Here is a 15,545-nt window from a genome sequence, read left to right on the forward strand (position 1 = left end):
ATACCTATAATCCCAAAACTTTGGGAGGCCAAGGCGGGTGGATCATGAAGTCAGGAGATCGAGACCATCCTGGCCAACATGGTGAAACCCCATCTCTACTAAAAATACAAGAATTAGCTGGGTGTGGTGGCGTGTGCCTGTAGTCCCAGCTGTTAGGGAGGCTGAGACAGGAGAATAGCTTGAACCCAGGAGGCAGAGGTTGCAGAGAGCCAAGATCACGCCACTGCACCCCAGCCTGGCAGCAGAGCAAGACTCCGTCTCAAAAAAAAAAAAAAAAAAGCAACATAATTCCATTGGGCTTTTCCGTAGAAATTAATAACTTGACTCTAAAATTTATAATAAAATGCAAAGAACACAGAATACTCAAAGCAATCTTAAAATAAAATGACCAAAGCTGGAGGACTTACACATTACCTGACTTCAAAACTTACTACAAAGCTACAGTAATCAAAACAAGGTGAGACTGGCTAAGGACAGACAAGGAAATCAATGGGACAGAAAAAGAAAGCCCAGAAATGAATTCACACCTATATGTCACTTGATTTTCAAGAAAAGTGCCAAAGCAATCTCATGGGGGAAGATCTTTTCCACAAATGTTGCTAAAATAACTGATATCCAAAAGGATAAAAATCAATCTGAACTCCCCACCTCATATCATACACATCTATTAATTCAATATGGATCACAGAACTAAATGTAAAAACTAAATCTAAAAAACTTCCAAAATGGAACATAGGAGAAAATCCTTATGACTTGGGGATAAATAAAGGTTTCTGGCCAGGCACCGTAGCTAACGTAAGTCCAGCACTCTGGGAGGCTGAGGTGGGAGGACTACTTGAGGACAGGAGTTCAAGACCAGCCTGGTCAACATAGCAAGACCTTGACTCTAAAAAAACAAAAAATTTTTTTTAATTTTAATTTTAATTTTATTTTTTTTGAGACTGAGTTTCGCTCTCGTTGCCCAGGCTGGAGTTCAGTGGTGTGATCTCAGCTCACCACAAACTCCGCCTCCTGGGTTCAAGCGATTCTCCTGCCTCAGCCTCCCGAGTAGCTGAGATTATAGGCATGCGCCACCACCATGCCCAGCTAATTCTGTATTTTTAGTAGAGACGGGGTTTCTCCATGTTGGTCGGGCTGGTCTCGAACTCCTGACCTCAGGTGATCCGCCCACCTCGGCCTCCCAAAGTGCTGGGATTACAGGTGTGAGCCACCGCACCTGGCCCAAATTAGTTAATTTTTTTTTTTTAAAGAAGAAAGGTTTTTTAGAAAGGTCACAGAATACAATAACCATTAAAAAAAAAATGCCAAATTTTATTTCATCAATATTTAAAACCTCTGCTTGCCTAAAGATTTTGTTAACAAGATGAGCAAGAAAGCCACAGACTGGGAGAGATTACTTACGAAACATACACATGACAAAGGTCTGATATGTAGGACAAACAAAGAACTCCTGCAACTCAATAATAAAGACAACTCCATTTTTTTAAATGCTCGAAAAATCTCAACAAACATTTCACAAAGGAAGATGCACAAATGGCCAAAAAGCACATAAAAATGTTCAACATCATTAGTCATCAGGGAAATGCAAAATAAAAATCACAGTGAGAGATCATTAAATATCCACCAAAATAACTAAAACACTGACAACGCAAATGTTAGTAAAAATGTAAAGTAAATAGAACTCTCATATATTAATAATATTTTGGAAAAAGGTCTAGCAGTTTCTTATAAAACTAAACATATAGCTATGTACATGATTCAGCAATTCCACTGAATCTCTCTAGATGTTTATCTGAGAACTGAAAACAAATGTTCACAAGATTGGTACAAAAATGTTCATAGAAGTTTATTCAAAATAGCCAAAAACTGAAAAGAACCCAGGTGTTTATCAATAGGAGAATGGACAAACAAAGATATAGTCAGAAGACAGAATAGTACCAACAATAAAAAGGAACAAATTATTGATGCATATAGCAACACAGAGGAACCTCAAAAATATGCTGGCCAGGTGTGGTGGCTCACACCTGTAATCCTAGCACTTTGGGAGGCTAAGGTGGGAGGATCACTTGAACCCCGGAGTTCGAGACCAGCCTGGACAACAAAGTGAGACCCTGTCTCTACAGAAAATTTTAAAAATTAGCCAAGCATGGTGGCATGCACCTGTAGTCCCAGCTACTTGGGAGGCTGAGGCAGGAGGATCGCTTGAGCCTGGGAGGTCAAGGATGCAGTAAGCTATGATAGTGCCACTGCACACCAGCCTGGGCAACAAAACAACACCCCGTCTCGACAAAAAAAAAAATATGCTAAATGAAAGATGCCTTGCTCAAATGAGTACATACTACATGTTTCCATTTATGTGTTCCACTTGTATGAAATAGGCAAAACTATGATAGAAACAAAATCACAACCAGGCACGGTGGCTCACGCCTGTAATCCCAGCACTTCAAGAGGCTGTGGCAGGTGGATCACGAGGTCAGGAGACTGAGACCATCCTGGCTAATACAGTGAAACCCCGTCTCTACTAAAAATACAAAAACAAAATTAGCCGGGCTTGGTGGCAAGCGCCTGTAGTCCCAGCTACTCGGGAGGCTAAGGTGGGAGAATGGCGTGAACCTGGGAGGCGGAGCTTACAGTGAGCCGAGATCACGCCACTGCACTCCAGCCTGGGCAACAGAGTGAGACTCCGTCTCAAAAAAAGAAAAAAAGAAAAAAAAAAAATCACAACAGTGGTTGTCTTTGTCTAAGGTTGAAGAACCAAGAGGCATGAAAACTTTTTCTGGGAGACGTAATGTTCTGTTTTGATAAAGGTTTAAGTTATACAAGTGTATGCAATTGTCAAAACTCATAAAATGGTACCCTTGAACTTGTGCATTCCATTGTATATAAATTTTACACCCTTCCCCAAAAAGTATAAATACTGAATTCTAGTTAATGTTATATAAGCAGAAATATTCAGAAGTATACTGATGTCTACAACATACCTTGAAGTGAGGCAAAAAATTAAGATGGATTGGCCGGGCACAGTGGCTCACGCCTATAACCCCAGCACTTTGGGAGGCCAAGAGGTCAAGAGATCAAGACCATCCTGGCCAACACAGTGAAACCCTGTCTCTACTAAAAATACAAAAATTAGCTGGGCGTGGTGGCGCATGCCTGTAATCCCAGCTACTCGGGAGGCTGAGGCAGGAGAATCACTTGAACCCAGGAGGCAGATGATGCAGTGAGCCAAGACCACGCCACTACACTCCAGCCTGGGTGACAGAACAAGACTCTGTCTCAAAAAAAAAAAAAAAAAAAAAGGAAATTAAGATGGATTAATGACAGATACAAGAATGGATAGATGGATATGCAGTTAAACAAATATAATAAATAACCATTATAGACTCTAGATGATATATATGTATATATTCACTGTTTATTACAAGTTTTCTGTACTTCTGAATACTTTCATAGTAAAATATTGGGAAAAATTTTTTTTTAATTATGAGTTACAGCCAAGCAGTGGCTCATGCCTGTAATCCCAGCACTATGGGAGGCCGAGGCAGGTGGAATGCCTGAGGTCAGGAGTTCAAGACCAGCCTGGCCAACATGGTGAAACCCCGTCTCTGCTAAAAATACAAAAATTAGCCAGGCGTGGTGGCTCACACCTGTAGTCCCAGCTACTGAGGAGGCTGAGGCACGAGAACCGCTTGAACCCAGGAGGCAGAGGCTGCAGTGAGCTGAGATCATGCCATTGCACTCCAGCCTGGGCAACAGAGTGAGATTCGATCTCAAAAAAAAAAAAAAACCAATAAATAAATTATGAGTTACTAAGTGGACAGTATACACCAGATCAGTAATAACAATAGCTGATACTACCACCATTAACTAAGTGACTACTATGTGTGAAACACTATGGTACATACTCACATATGTTATATCTAATCCCCAACACAATCCTGCAAGGCAAGTAGTATTATCCCCATTTTCCTGATGAGGGAACCAATTCACAGAAAGACTAAGGAACTTATTAGAGCTTCATACAGCTATTCAATGAAACTGGCAGGACTCTAAACCCAAGTCTGACTCCAAAAGGGCTGCTATTCCATTATACCACTCTGCCTTAACAATCAACTCCTTGGATTGGGCCTAATTTTTTTTTTTTTTTTTTTTTTAAGATACAGAGTCTCAGTGTTGCTCAGGCTGGCCTCAAATTCCTGGGCTAAAGCAATCCTCCCAACTCAACCTCCCAAGTATCATTTTTTTTCTTGGATTTCAATAGAAGTTTGTGTTATTGACTTGTAGGCATAAGTGGGTTAATGGCAGGGACTTTGAAAAGCCCTTTCACTGTCATTCCATTATGATAGTCTATAATAAGGCTGCTACTATTCTTGTCTCCTTTCAGCATTATAAGTGTTTTACAATACGAGAAAGGAATGCCACAACCATGACACAATTTTTTCAAACAAAATTCTTTACCTCATTTCTCGTTCTTCATGTTGAGCGATAAGGTTGCTATAAAAATTCTCCAGTGTCACTTTGGTCATTGTCACCCTTTCCTTTGTGTGGTTACTCATGGATGAGCAAGGTGTTGAGCCTGTCATTGCCATGGCTGCTAGAAACAAAGAAAAGAAGAGGTGTTAGATTTGGAGTTAGAATCCACCCAGTGTGCACTCTCCTACCCTATTGGTAGGAATGTAAATTGGTGCAAGTTTTCTGGAGGACAAACAGGTAATATGTAACAAAAGCCAGAGAAAGAGAATACTTAGTGAAAATAAATATAAATTACTGTCCTATGACCCAGAAATCCCACCCCTAGGTATAAAGACTAAAGAAACCGTCACACAGGCTTCTAAAGTGACATACACAGGATGTTCAGCACAGAGAGGATGTTCATCATGCCTTAATTTGTGTTATGGGAAGTTGGAGGCACTTAAGTAAGAAAATAAAGAGCTGTGGCTGCATAGGAAATACCATGCAACAACCAGAAAACCAGAAGCAACTTTACCTGTACCTGTAAGTCACACAAATATATCTTTTTTTTTCTTTTTGAGATGGAGTTTCGCTCTTGTTGCCCAGGCTGGAGTGCGACAGGATGATCTTGGCTCACCGCAACCTCCACCTTCCAGGTTCAATCGATTCTCCCACCTCAGTTTCCCGAGTAGCTGGGATTACAGGCATGCGCCACCACACCTGGCTAATTTTGTATTTTTAGTAGAGACGGGGCCACCTCGGCCTCCCAAAGTGCTGGGATTACAACTGTGAGCCACCGCGCCTGGCCCACACAAATATATCTTTATTTATTTATTTATTTGTTTGTTTTTGAGAAGGAGTCTCGCTCTGTCGCCCAGGCTGGAGTGCAGTGGCGCGATCTCCGCTCATTGCAACCTACACCTCCCAGGTTCACGCCATTCTCCTGCCTCAGCCTCCCAAGCAGCTGGGACTACAGGCGCCCACCAATACACCGGGCTAATTTTTTGTATTTTTAGTAGAGACGGGATTTCACCATGTTAACCAGGATGGTCTCAAAACTCCTGACCTCATGATCCGCCCATCTCAGCCTCCCAAAGTGCTGAGGATAACAGGCGTGAGCCACCGTGCCCAGCCCACAAATATATCTTTAAAACATATTAGTGCAAGTGCATATTGCATTTTTAAAAAGAGAACAAGATCACAATACCATATAGATAAATTAAGAATATATAGTAAACCACACGCCTGTAATCCTGGCTTCCTGGGAGGCCAAGACAGAGGTCTGCTTGAGTCCCCAAGTTTAAGACTAGCCTGGACAACATAGTGAGACCTAAAAAAAAATATACAGTATGCATACAGTACAATTCTTTGCCATCTAAAAATCTACCTTGAAGAAATCAAAGACCCATAAAAATTCATCACAAGGAGGTGCAATGCAGCATTGTAATCACAAAGGGAAATTAGGGATAACTTGAATATACACAATAGAATTAATTCAGTATGAAAAAGCCCTTCAATAAAATAATGTGCAGACAATTAAAATATGTCCAAATAGTTAATGTCAGAGGAAATGTTTCCACTCTAAGTCAACAGAACACATTACAAAGCAGAATGTATATCACGATCTCAATTTTCTTTATGTGTTTACTGTATATGCACATAATTATTAGAAACATATCATCAAAATGTTATTAGTGGCTTACCTGTAGGTAGTGGGAATAGAAAATGTTATTCTTGCTTGTGCTTTTTCCATGTTTTTCTTTTTCTTTTTTTTTTTTTTTGAGATGGAGTCTCACTCTGTCGCCCATGCTGGAGTACAATGATTCAATCTCAGCTCACTGGAACCTCTGCCTCCCAGGTTCAAGCGATTCTCGTGTCTCAGCCTCCCAAGTAGTTAAGATGACAGGCACCAGCCACTGTGCCCAGCTAATTTTTTTTTTTGTATTTTCAGTAGAGACGGGGTTTCACCACACTGGTCAGGCTGGTCTCAAACTCTTGACCTCAAGTGATCCACCCAACTTGGCCTCCCAAAGTGCTGGGATTGCAGGCATGAGCCACTGCACCCAGCCCATGTTTTTCTATATTTTCTTCCATAAGCATATACTGTTACCAATAACTTTTTAAGTTTATCCACAGTTAAAAGAAAAATCTATGATTAAAAATGGTAATCTGATACATATATGCTCTGACACAGCCTTAAGGTATTTGATAAATGTTTGCCGTTTATTTGAATTTACAAGTTAAAATAAAGTTTTAAGTCTTAAAATAAAGGGAACAATATGACAAAAAACCTGAATCACGATTCTAGTGGTAGAAGCAGCAATACCTTAAAAACAAGAGATCTTAATTTCCTCATTTTACACAAGAAAAAAACACCACCAATGTGTTTAGATAAGTTATAGAATATTTTTTTCCTAAATTTAAAATATTGTTTTCAACCAGGAGTGTGGCACACACCAGTAGTCCTAGCTACTCCAAAGGCTGAGGCAGAATTGCTTGAATTGGGAAGCAGAGGTTGCAGTGAGCCGAGATAGCGCCACTGCACTCCAGACTGGGCTACACAGCGAGACTCAGTCTCAAAAATAAATAATAAAATCGGCTGAGCGCGGTGGCTCACGCCTGTAATCCCAGCACTTTGGGAGGCCAAGGCAGGCGAATCATCTGAGGTCAGGAGTTGGGAGACTAGCCTGACCAACAGAGTGAAACCCCGTCTCTACTAAAAACACAAAAATTAGCTGTGCGTGGTGGCAGGCGCCTATAATCCCAGCTACTCGGGAGGCTGAGACAGGAGAATCGCTTGAACCCGGGAGGCAGAGGTTGCAGTGAGCCGAGATCATGCCACTGCACTCCACCTGGGTGACAGAGCAAGATTCCGTCTCAAAAAAAATAAATAAATAAAATAAAATCTTGTTTTCCTCCAGATATTTCAGCTAACCTGTATTATCACACTTGGCCAAATTGTTCACTAACATTGACTTGCTCCAGCATTGGCAATAGCGCTCAATTTTTTTTTTTTTGAGACGAAGTCTCGCTCTGTCGCCCAGGCTGGAGTGCAGTGGCGCGATCTCGGCTCACTCCAAGCTCCGCCTCCCAGGTTCGTGCCATTCTCCTGCCTCAGCCTCCCGAGTAGCTGGGACTACAGGCACCCGCCACCACGCCCGGCTAATTTTTTCTATTTTTTAGTAGAGACAGGGTTTCACCGTGTTAGCCAGGATGGTCTCGATCTCCTGACCTCATGATCTGCCCATCTCAGCCTCCCAAAGTGCTGGGATTACAGGCGTGAGCCACCATGCCCGGCCAATAGTGCTCAATATTTTATTCTTACCATTCCTACCTCTCATATGATCTACTTCTCTGTCTCTTCATCCCAATATAAAGCTGAGTAAAAATTAGGAGAGGCTGAACACTGTGGTTCATGCCTGTAATCCCATCACTTTGGGAGGGTGAGGTAGAGAGATCATTTGAGCCCAGGAGTTCATGAGTCCAGGAATTCAAGACCAGCCTGGGTAACATAGCAAGACCCTGTCTCTACTACCCCCCACAGCTGCAGCAAAAAAGAATCATGAGAGTCAAAGGGCCATTTTTCTTTTTTTGGAAATGGAGTCTCACTCTGTCGCCCAGGCTGGAGTGCAATGGCACAATCTCGGTGCACTGCAACCTCCGCCTCCTGGGTTCAAGCGATTCTCCTGCCTCAGCCTCCCAAGTAGTTGGGACTACAGGGACATGCCATCACCCCCAGCTAGTTTTTAGTAGAGACGGGGTTTCACTATGTTGGCCAGGCTAGTCTTGAACTCCTGACCTCAGATGATCTGACTGCCTGGGCCTCCCAAAGTGCTGGGATTAGAGGCATAAGCCACCGCACCCAGCCAAGGACCATTTTCAAAGATAGTGCATTTTAAGAAAAGTTTTCAGGTTTTCCCCCTTAATATTTAGTAGCTTTTTAAATTGTTTTGTGGATTAAACTAAGGCTTATAAAACACTTGTTCAAAAAAGCCTTAAAATTATTTAAAAAGCAATTATTTAAAAAGATACGCAGACAAAAATCACATAAATAATTCCTTCAGAGCAGAGATTCAAAACTAAGACTCTACTTGAGAGTCAAACATTTTGATTCATCATGTGCCAAAAAGATCAGTAAAAACAAATTTAAGACACTGCATTAAGAGCTACCTTACTATAAAATATCACATTATTTTTTATGGGGAAGTTTCGACTAATACCAAAGCAAACTCAAATGTTTTAGAGTATCACTAAAGGAATTAAAAAAAACAAAAACAACAAAAAAAAAACCTCTGTTTGGTTTGTGAAGCTTGGGTGTGGTTCCTTATTTGTCAGCCTGTACCCCCCCCTCCACCCACAATGAAAACCACATGCACTCTAAGTGTGTTTGGTGAAGAAATTTAAAAACCAGATGTAAAAACATGTCAAAAGCAAGTGAGAGTTTTGTACTTCCTTGTCTGAAAATTCCTGAAGAAATTGCATATATGTAGTTACATTTTAACAACTGAAATTACTTCAACATAAAAATGTAACAATTTGCCAGGGCACTGGTGCACCCCTGTAATCTCAGCACTTTGGGAGGGAGAGGTAGGAGATTGCTTGAAACCAGCCTGTGCAACATGGCAAAACCCCCGTTGCTACAAAAAAATACAAAAAATTGGCCAGGTGTGGTAGCACACACCTGTAGTCCCAGCTACTCAGGAGGCTGAGGTGGGAGGATTGCTTGAGCTGGAGAGGCAGAGGTTTCAGTGAGTTTGGCTTGTGCCACTGCACGCCAGCCTGGGACAGAGCAAGACTCTGTCTTAAAAACAACAACAACAACAACAAACACAACACAACAATCTGCTAGTATTTAACCCTAAGGCAAACAGTGCCTTCCATATAACAGGCAGTTGAGTAAGTTAATGATTTTTAGTTGTCAACAAAGCTAAAGAATAAAGATGGCCGGACACGGTGGCTCATGCCTGTAATCCCAGAACTTTGGGAGGCTGAGGCAGGTGGATCACCTGAAGTCAGGAGTTGGAGACTAGCTTGGCCAACATGGTGAAAGCCTGTCTCTACTAAAAATACAAAAAAAATTAGCCGGGTGTGGTGGTGGGCACCTGTAATCCCAGCTACTTGGGAGGCTGAGGCAGGAGAATCGCTTGAACCCTGGAGGCACAGGTTGCAGTGAGCCAAGATCACACCACTGCACTCTAGCCTGGGTGAGTGAGACTCCGTCTGGAAAAAAAAAAAAAAAAAAAAAAAAAAGAATAAAGACTACATTTACACTGATGGATATATCAAAAATGCTTTGACTAATTTAAGTAGCTGGCTTGCATTACTACCTAAACTTTTAAAAAGATCAAAAGGACATTAAATGAACTCAAAGATGCTCAAATATTAGACCAACAAATTCTTAAGCAGAGTGTTTTTCAACTTTTAGAGTTTCTAATATAATGATAAAGACTGCACTCTCCTTCCCTTTGACCTTTCTTTAAACCCTCCTCCACTTCCTCTATTGTAATATAAAAAATTTAGCCTAATTCTAATATCCTTTAATCAAAAGATGTAATTAATATTGCCCTATAGCAATTCATAGATTTACTGGGTCAACCAACTTTTCTTAAGACAGGACTATCCATCAGGCTTTCCACAATTCAAGCCTTCCTGCCCTGACCTAGAAGCCATTGGAGGCCTTTGCCCCATTTGTTTCATTCTTCAACTCTGAAGAATTAGGAAATAATAGGTGGCTGAGGAATTCTTCAAAGTTTTAAAAAATTAACAAAAGGAACTGATCCTCATAAAAGTCAGGTGTAAGGCCTGCAAACTCAAAAGGAAGTCAAATGAAAACCATTATGTGATTCAATCTATATGGTTATGCCTGGCTAACTGACTGACTTTACAATGGTACTCTGTGATCACTATAAACAACCCTCTCTCAACAATATGGACTTTATTTCTTTGCGACTGACAATCCATTATCTTTCATTTGGACGATTCAACATTGGAGCTAAGATTATTGCTTAAGTCGCATGTCTAATCTCTCCCACTGAACTGTAAATCCTACTAAACTGTAATCTCTACCTACACTAGAAAGCAAGCACCATGTCTTATACTTGTTTTAATATTCTTCCCCCATTTCATGCACAGTGCTATGCACTTAGCACCTTAAGAAAGATTAACTAGGAAATATACTCATTTTTGATGTCCATTCCTAGGAGTTTATGTGTGATGGGGGATAGGGCTGGGACATGAAATGGTTTGCTATAGCGTTCTCTCCTCTTAGGAGGAAGCTGGTATCTAACGTTTAGGGTGGGGAGGAGAGCCTGTTATCGAGGTGGTGGTTGTTTTATGTTTAGGGAAACCAAATATATTGCCTGGCTAATTCAGAGGCAGGGTGAGCTCAAAGGGTGGAGACACTCAGGGTCTACTTCACTCCAACCCTCCTCGGTGCATTTCAAACAGAACAAGTTTCTCTCCGAGTCTTTTAGTCGTTTCAGAATGAACTGAGAGATCTGGTCTCTCTGCCGGCCGTTCTGCCCGCTTTCTGACACAGACTTTCCTCTAAGCCCTTACCGACTTTTTCCTCTGGCTGTTGCTTTTCCACTCTCTTCTTAAGAATTTTCCCTGCCTTTTCCTGTGATTTGAAGCTTATCTGAAGCCCAGTATCCTAAGACTAACGGAGAAAGGAGCCGACTCAAAGATACCACACCCCAAGGGGGGCTTTCGACATCTCTGCCTCAGACCACAGTTCACAGACCCCAGAAGAAGGAAAAGGAGATAAAAACCGGTGATGACCGAGATCCCTGAGGGACTGACTGGTGGCAGGGAGCAGACAAAGGTGGCAACATGGAAAGGAAAGCCTGGCTCCCGCTCCAACTGCAAAAGGAGAAAGATAAAGGATGGGGTGGAAAGGCTGGGACTGGAAAAATGTGGAGAGGGCCAACAAGGGGCATCTGGAGACGGGGGAAGAAGGGGGTTAAGGAGAGGGGCGGAGAGAGGCCAAGAGGCTGAGAGGTTAGGGCTTGAAAGAGGGCGCCGGCGAGCAGGAGAAAGCCCAAGAAGGAGTCGGAGGTTGGGGAAGGAGGAGATAAAGGAAAAACCCCGGGATGGAGTGAAGACGGCGGCAGCAAGCAACTCACCAGAGCCCAGGGAGAGGCAGGGCTGGGGACGGCGGAGAGCCGCAGACGCCCCTTCGGCCAGTAGTCTCGACTTGAAGGCTGGCGAAGCCCCGGCGGCGGCAGCCAACGAGCCAAAGACGGGAGGGGACGCGTGAGGGACTCTGAGACAGGGGGCAACAGGCGGTTACGGGTGAGGACAACAGGAAGCGTTCCAACTGCCGGAAAAGACGCGAGCGCTGAGGGGCCAAGGCAGCCCGGTCCCCCGCCGCGGAGACGGGCTGGCGCGGCAGCCCGGGGCCGAGACTACGCATGCGCGACTTCCCGGAGCGGCCGGGATTGCGGAACTGCGCTTGCGTGGCCCCGCCCTGCCCCTCCCTTCACCCCCTGCCTAGGGCTGGCTGGACCTGGGTGAGGCCAGATGTGTGAGTGTGAGGCGGTCTCGAAGTAGGCTGGGCTGAGGGGGAAGTTCCATTGTTTTCTTTTGTTTTACTTTTTACTTCGAAATAATTATGGACTCACAAGAAGTTGCAAAATTAATACATACAGGTTCCCTATACCATCACCCACCCAGCTTACCTCAACATTTTTCTTAAGATACAACATTCTCAAAGCCAGGAAATTGACATTCGCACAATACAATTAACTAAACCAATACAATTAACTAAACCAATACAATTAACTTCATTACAGACCACACTCGGATTTAACCTGTTGGGTATGCAGTCATGTGCGTGTGTGTGAGTGTGTGTGTAGTTCTATGAAATGTTGTCACCTGTATAGTTCCCACCCACCCCCCTACCCCGTGTAGAACAGGTCTGCTGGAGCCCTTGGCCCCCCTCCTCTTCCTTAAAGTAAGGACCTTACCTGGGATAAGGTGAGCTCTCATAGGTTTGGGAGGTTACCCAGCGGGCGACCCAGTGTGGACAGAAGAAGGTGCTTTTCAAGGCCACCCAACTCTTATTCTGTACTACTTTTGGGGGTAAAGAGGTCCCAAGTTTAATAGCCTTTGGGCACTTGTCGTTTCTTGAGAATGGAGCACAAAGCCCTCAACTACAAAGTGTCAAGCTCCTGGAAACTAAGATGAACGAGACATGGTCCCTGACTGCCTGCAAAGGGGCCATCTAGGGAGAGAAGGAAGCATGTGCTGCGAGTTATTCATTCATTTCATCTTCAAAGCCCAGTTTCCTTTTGTCTAGCCTCTTAACAAAAATCACTTCTCGCCAGGCGCGGTGGCTCCTGCCTGTAATTCCAGCACTTTGGGAGGTCCAGGTGGGAGGATAGCTTGAGCCTAGGAGTTTGAGACCAGTCTGGGCAACATAAGGAGAATCCACCTCTAAAAAAATTTTTGTAATTGGCCAGCATGGTGGCAAGTGCCTGTGGTCCCACCTACTGTGGAGGCTGAAGCAGGAGGATTGATTGAGTCCAGGAGTTCAGGGCTGCTATGAGCCATGATCATGACACTGCACCCCAGCCTGGGCAACGGAGGGAGACCCTGTCTCAATCAGTCACTACATACATATCAATCAATCACTTCGCCTTTCATTCTCTCTGCCCAGAGGCCCTTCTCCCCAAATGCCTGTTGTCAAAGTCCTACCCATTCTTAAGCTTTTAATAATAGTCCAAGATGTCTGCATAATGCTTTACAGTTTACAAACAACTTTCACTTATTTAATCTCACTTGGTCCTCACTTTGGCAGTGACACACGAGGTTTTGCAGATGAAGTAATTGATACTTAGAGAAGCTAAGTGACTTGTCTGAATTCCCACGGCTAGTAAGCCAAGTAGCCAAGAGGGGAACCCCATTTTCTGTCTGCAAATCCAATGTTCTTTCTCCTCTTCTCTTTCCTCCTTCCAAAGCCCAGCTCAAACCTTATCTTCCTCCTGGAACTTTCCCAGTTTCAGAAGAGGAATTTCACTCTCTCTTCTCTCTTATATATATGTTTTTTTTGGTGGGGGGAGGGGGGTTGTTTTTGTTTTGTTTTGAGACGGAGTGTCGCTCTATCACTAGGCTGGAGTGTAGTGGCACGATCTCGGCTCACTGCAACCTCCACCTCCCAGGCTCAAGTGATTCTCCTGCCTCAGCCTCCTTAGTAGCTGGGACTACAGGACTACAGGCACGTGCCACCATGCCCAGCTAATCTTTTCTTCTTCTTCTTCTTCCTCTTCTTCTTCTTCTTCTTCTTCTTCTTCTTCTTCTTCTTCTTCTTCTTCTCCTTCTCCTTCTCCTTCTCCTTCTTCTTTTTTTTTTTTGAGACGGAGTCTTGCTCTGTTGCCCAGGCTGAAGTGCAGTGGCGCGATCTCTGCTCACTGCACGCTCCGCCTCCCGGGTTCACACCATTCTCCTGCCTCAGCCTCCCGAGTAGCTGGGACTACAGGCGCCCGCCACCAAGCCCGGCTAATTTTTTGTATTTTTAGTAGAGACGGGGTTTCACCATGTTAGCCAGGATGGTCTCGATCTCCTGACTTTGTGATCTGCCCGCCTCGGCCTCCCAAAGTGCTGGGATTACCGGCGTGAGCCACCGCGCCCGGCCTTTTTTTTTTGTATTTTTACTAGAGATGGGGTTTCACCATGTTGGCCAGGATGCTGTCTATCTCTTGACCTCGTGATCTGCCCACCTCCGCCTCCCAAAGTGCTGGGATTACAGGCGTGAGCCACCGCACCCGGCCCTTTCCTCCTATATTAATTTATCTGTACCACAACTCAAATAAGCACTAAAGTTTTCCTCAAAACAGCCCAGCCAAATTATGCTGCTCTTTCTGCAGGAACCCAAAAGGTGACATTTTACCAAGATTCCAATAACTATAATGGACGTTTGTCATTCTTTTTGGCCACTTGAGCATCTGAATCCCTTTCCTATCACCAAAACTGAAATCACTTATACCCATCCCAGACTGTGAGTTGGAAATTAGAAAGATCTGACCTGCATAATTTTGATGTTGTCACATCCCCGTGTTTGTTTGTTTGTTTGTTTGTTTTTTGAGACGGGGTCACCCAGGCTGGGGTCACCCAGGCTGGAGAGCAGCGGCACAATCATAGCTCACTGCAGCCTCGAACTCCTGGGCTCAAGCAATCCTCCTACCTCAGCCTTGTGAGTAGCTGGGAACAAAGGTGCGTACGACCTTGATCGGCTAGTTTTTTGTAGAGTCAGGCCTCACTATGTTGCCCAGGCTGGTCTCAAACTCCTGTTCTCAGGTGATCCTCCTACCTCAGCCTCCCAATGTGCTGGGATTACAGGCATGAACCACCTTACACAGTGAGTCGAGCTTTATTTTAAATTTCGATGTTTTATTCATCGTGGATTTTTTGCATTAATTTTGATTTTTGAAAAACCTTGCATTAAAATGGTCTTTATCTTGATTACTGAGTTTTTTGTGCCCAAGGTGAGTGTCTTGCTCACTTGCTCAACTCACCCGTTCTTTGTTCCAAGGGAATCACCTGCCTCTCCTTTATCAAGCTGACCTATGATTGCTTCACCAGCCAAAACTGAGCCACTTGGAAAGAACCACAACTCTTTTTAAAAACAGGCATCTTACCCCTTAGCAGTGTGTGCCCCACCTATTGGGGCAGTGGCATCAATTGCCTCTGAATATTCCTTTCATAAGAAGACAGGAACTATGCTTGGGTGCCTGCTAGCCCAGTGCTTCTCAAACTGTAACATGCACATAAATCTCCTGGGATTTGGTTAAAGAGCAGATCTGGCTAAAGTCTGGGGCAGAGCTGAGATACTGCATTTCAAACAAGCCCCCAGATGATGCTATCACTGCTGGTCCATGTACTACACTTAGAGTAGCAAGGAACTTGAACATATATCCAAGTAAAAAGTAAGAAGGAGAAAGTGCCCATAATCCAGCAGCCGTAGGTCCCAACCAAGGCCAAGACTAGGGTGAAGCATGTGAGGGCATAACATTTAAGAAGACACTCACTTTCAGGTTCTACTCCTGCATTTGCAGAACCCTGAGAGTGAAGGCAGCCTTACATTGAGTGTCCTA

General features: G+C 43.8%; 1 protein-coding gene across 9 annotated transcripts in view, besides 4 other annotated features; it reads right to left on the reverse strand.

The window, feature by feature from the left end:
* STK38 (serine/threonine kinase 38) overlaps positions 1 to 11,866 on the reverse strand; it is a 53,588-nt gene extending 41,722 nt beyond the window's left edge. For 3 of the 9 annotated variants that reach the window (XM_017010226.2, NM_001305102.2, XM_047418144.1), the window contains exons 1-2: positions 11,577 to 11,866; positions 4,459 to 4,591 (exon numbers count right to left, since the gene is read on the reverse strand). In XM_017010226.2, coding sequence (XP_016865715.1) covers positions 4,459 to 4,589 — 131 coding nt within the window. In that variant the 5' untranslated portion in view covers positions 4,590 to 4,591; positions 11,577 to 11,866. Of the gene's footprint in view, positions 1 to 4,458; positions 4,595 to 4,987; positions 5,177 to 6,155; positions 9,673 to 11,576 lie in introns of all 9 variants that reach the window. The other 6 variants (XM_047418143.1, XM_047418141.1, XM_047418142.1 and 3 more) reach the window with 4 other exon arrangements.
* Positions 11,401 to 11,924: an enhancer, noted in NCBI's record as "H3K27ac hESC enhancer chr6:36514791-36515314 (GRCh37/hg19 assembly coordinates)". NCBI's record gives its function as "activates a minimal SCP1, AML or CMV promoter by ChIP-STARR-seq in primed H9 embryonic stem cells {active_cell/tissue: H9 hESC(primed)}" and the evidence as "EXISTENCE:reporter gene assay evidence [ECO:0000049][PMID:30033119]".
* Positions 11,401 to 12,011: a biological region, named in NCBI's record as "H3K27ac hESC enhancer GRCh37_chr6:36514791-36515314".
* Positions 11,672 to 12,011: a silencer, noted in NCBI's record as "silent region_17117". NCBI's record gives its function as "represses an Ori minimal core promoter by ATAC-STARR-seq in GM12878 lymphoblastoid cells {active_cell/tissue: GM12878}" and the evidence as "EXISTENCE:reporter gene assay evidence [ECO:0000049][PMID:35858748]".
* Positions 15,125 to 15,325: a silencer, noted in NCBI's record as "peak5783 fragment used in MPRA reporter construct". NCBI's record gives its function as "represses an SCP1 promoter by STARR-seq MPRAs in K562 erythroleukemia cells {active_cell/tissue: K562}" and the evidence as "EXISTENCE:reporter gene assay evidence [ECO:0000049][PMID:32103011]".

The sequence above is a fragment of the Homo sapiens genome, chromosome 6, assembly GCF_000001405.40.
Source record: "Homo sapiens chromosome 6, GRCh38.p14 Primary Assembly".
Lineage (NCBI taxonomy): Eukaryota > Metazoa > Chordata > Mammalia > Primates > Hominidae > Homo > Homo sapiens.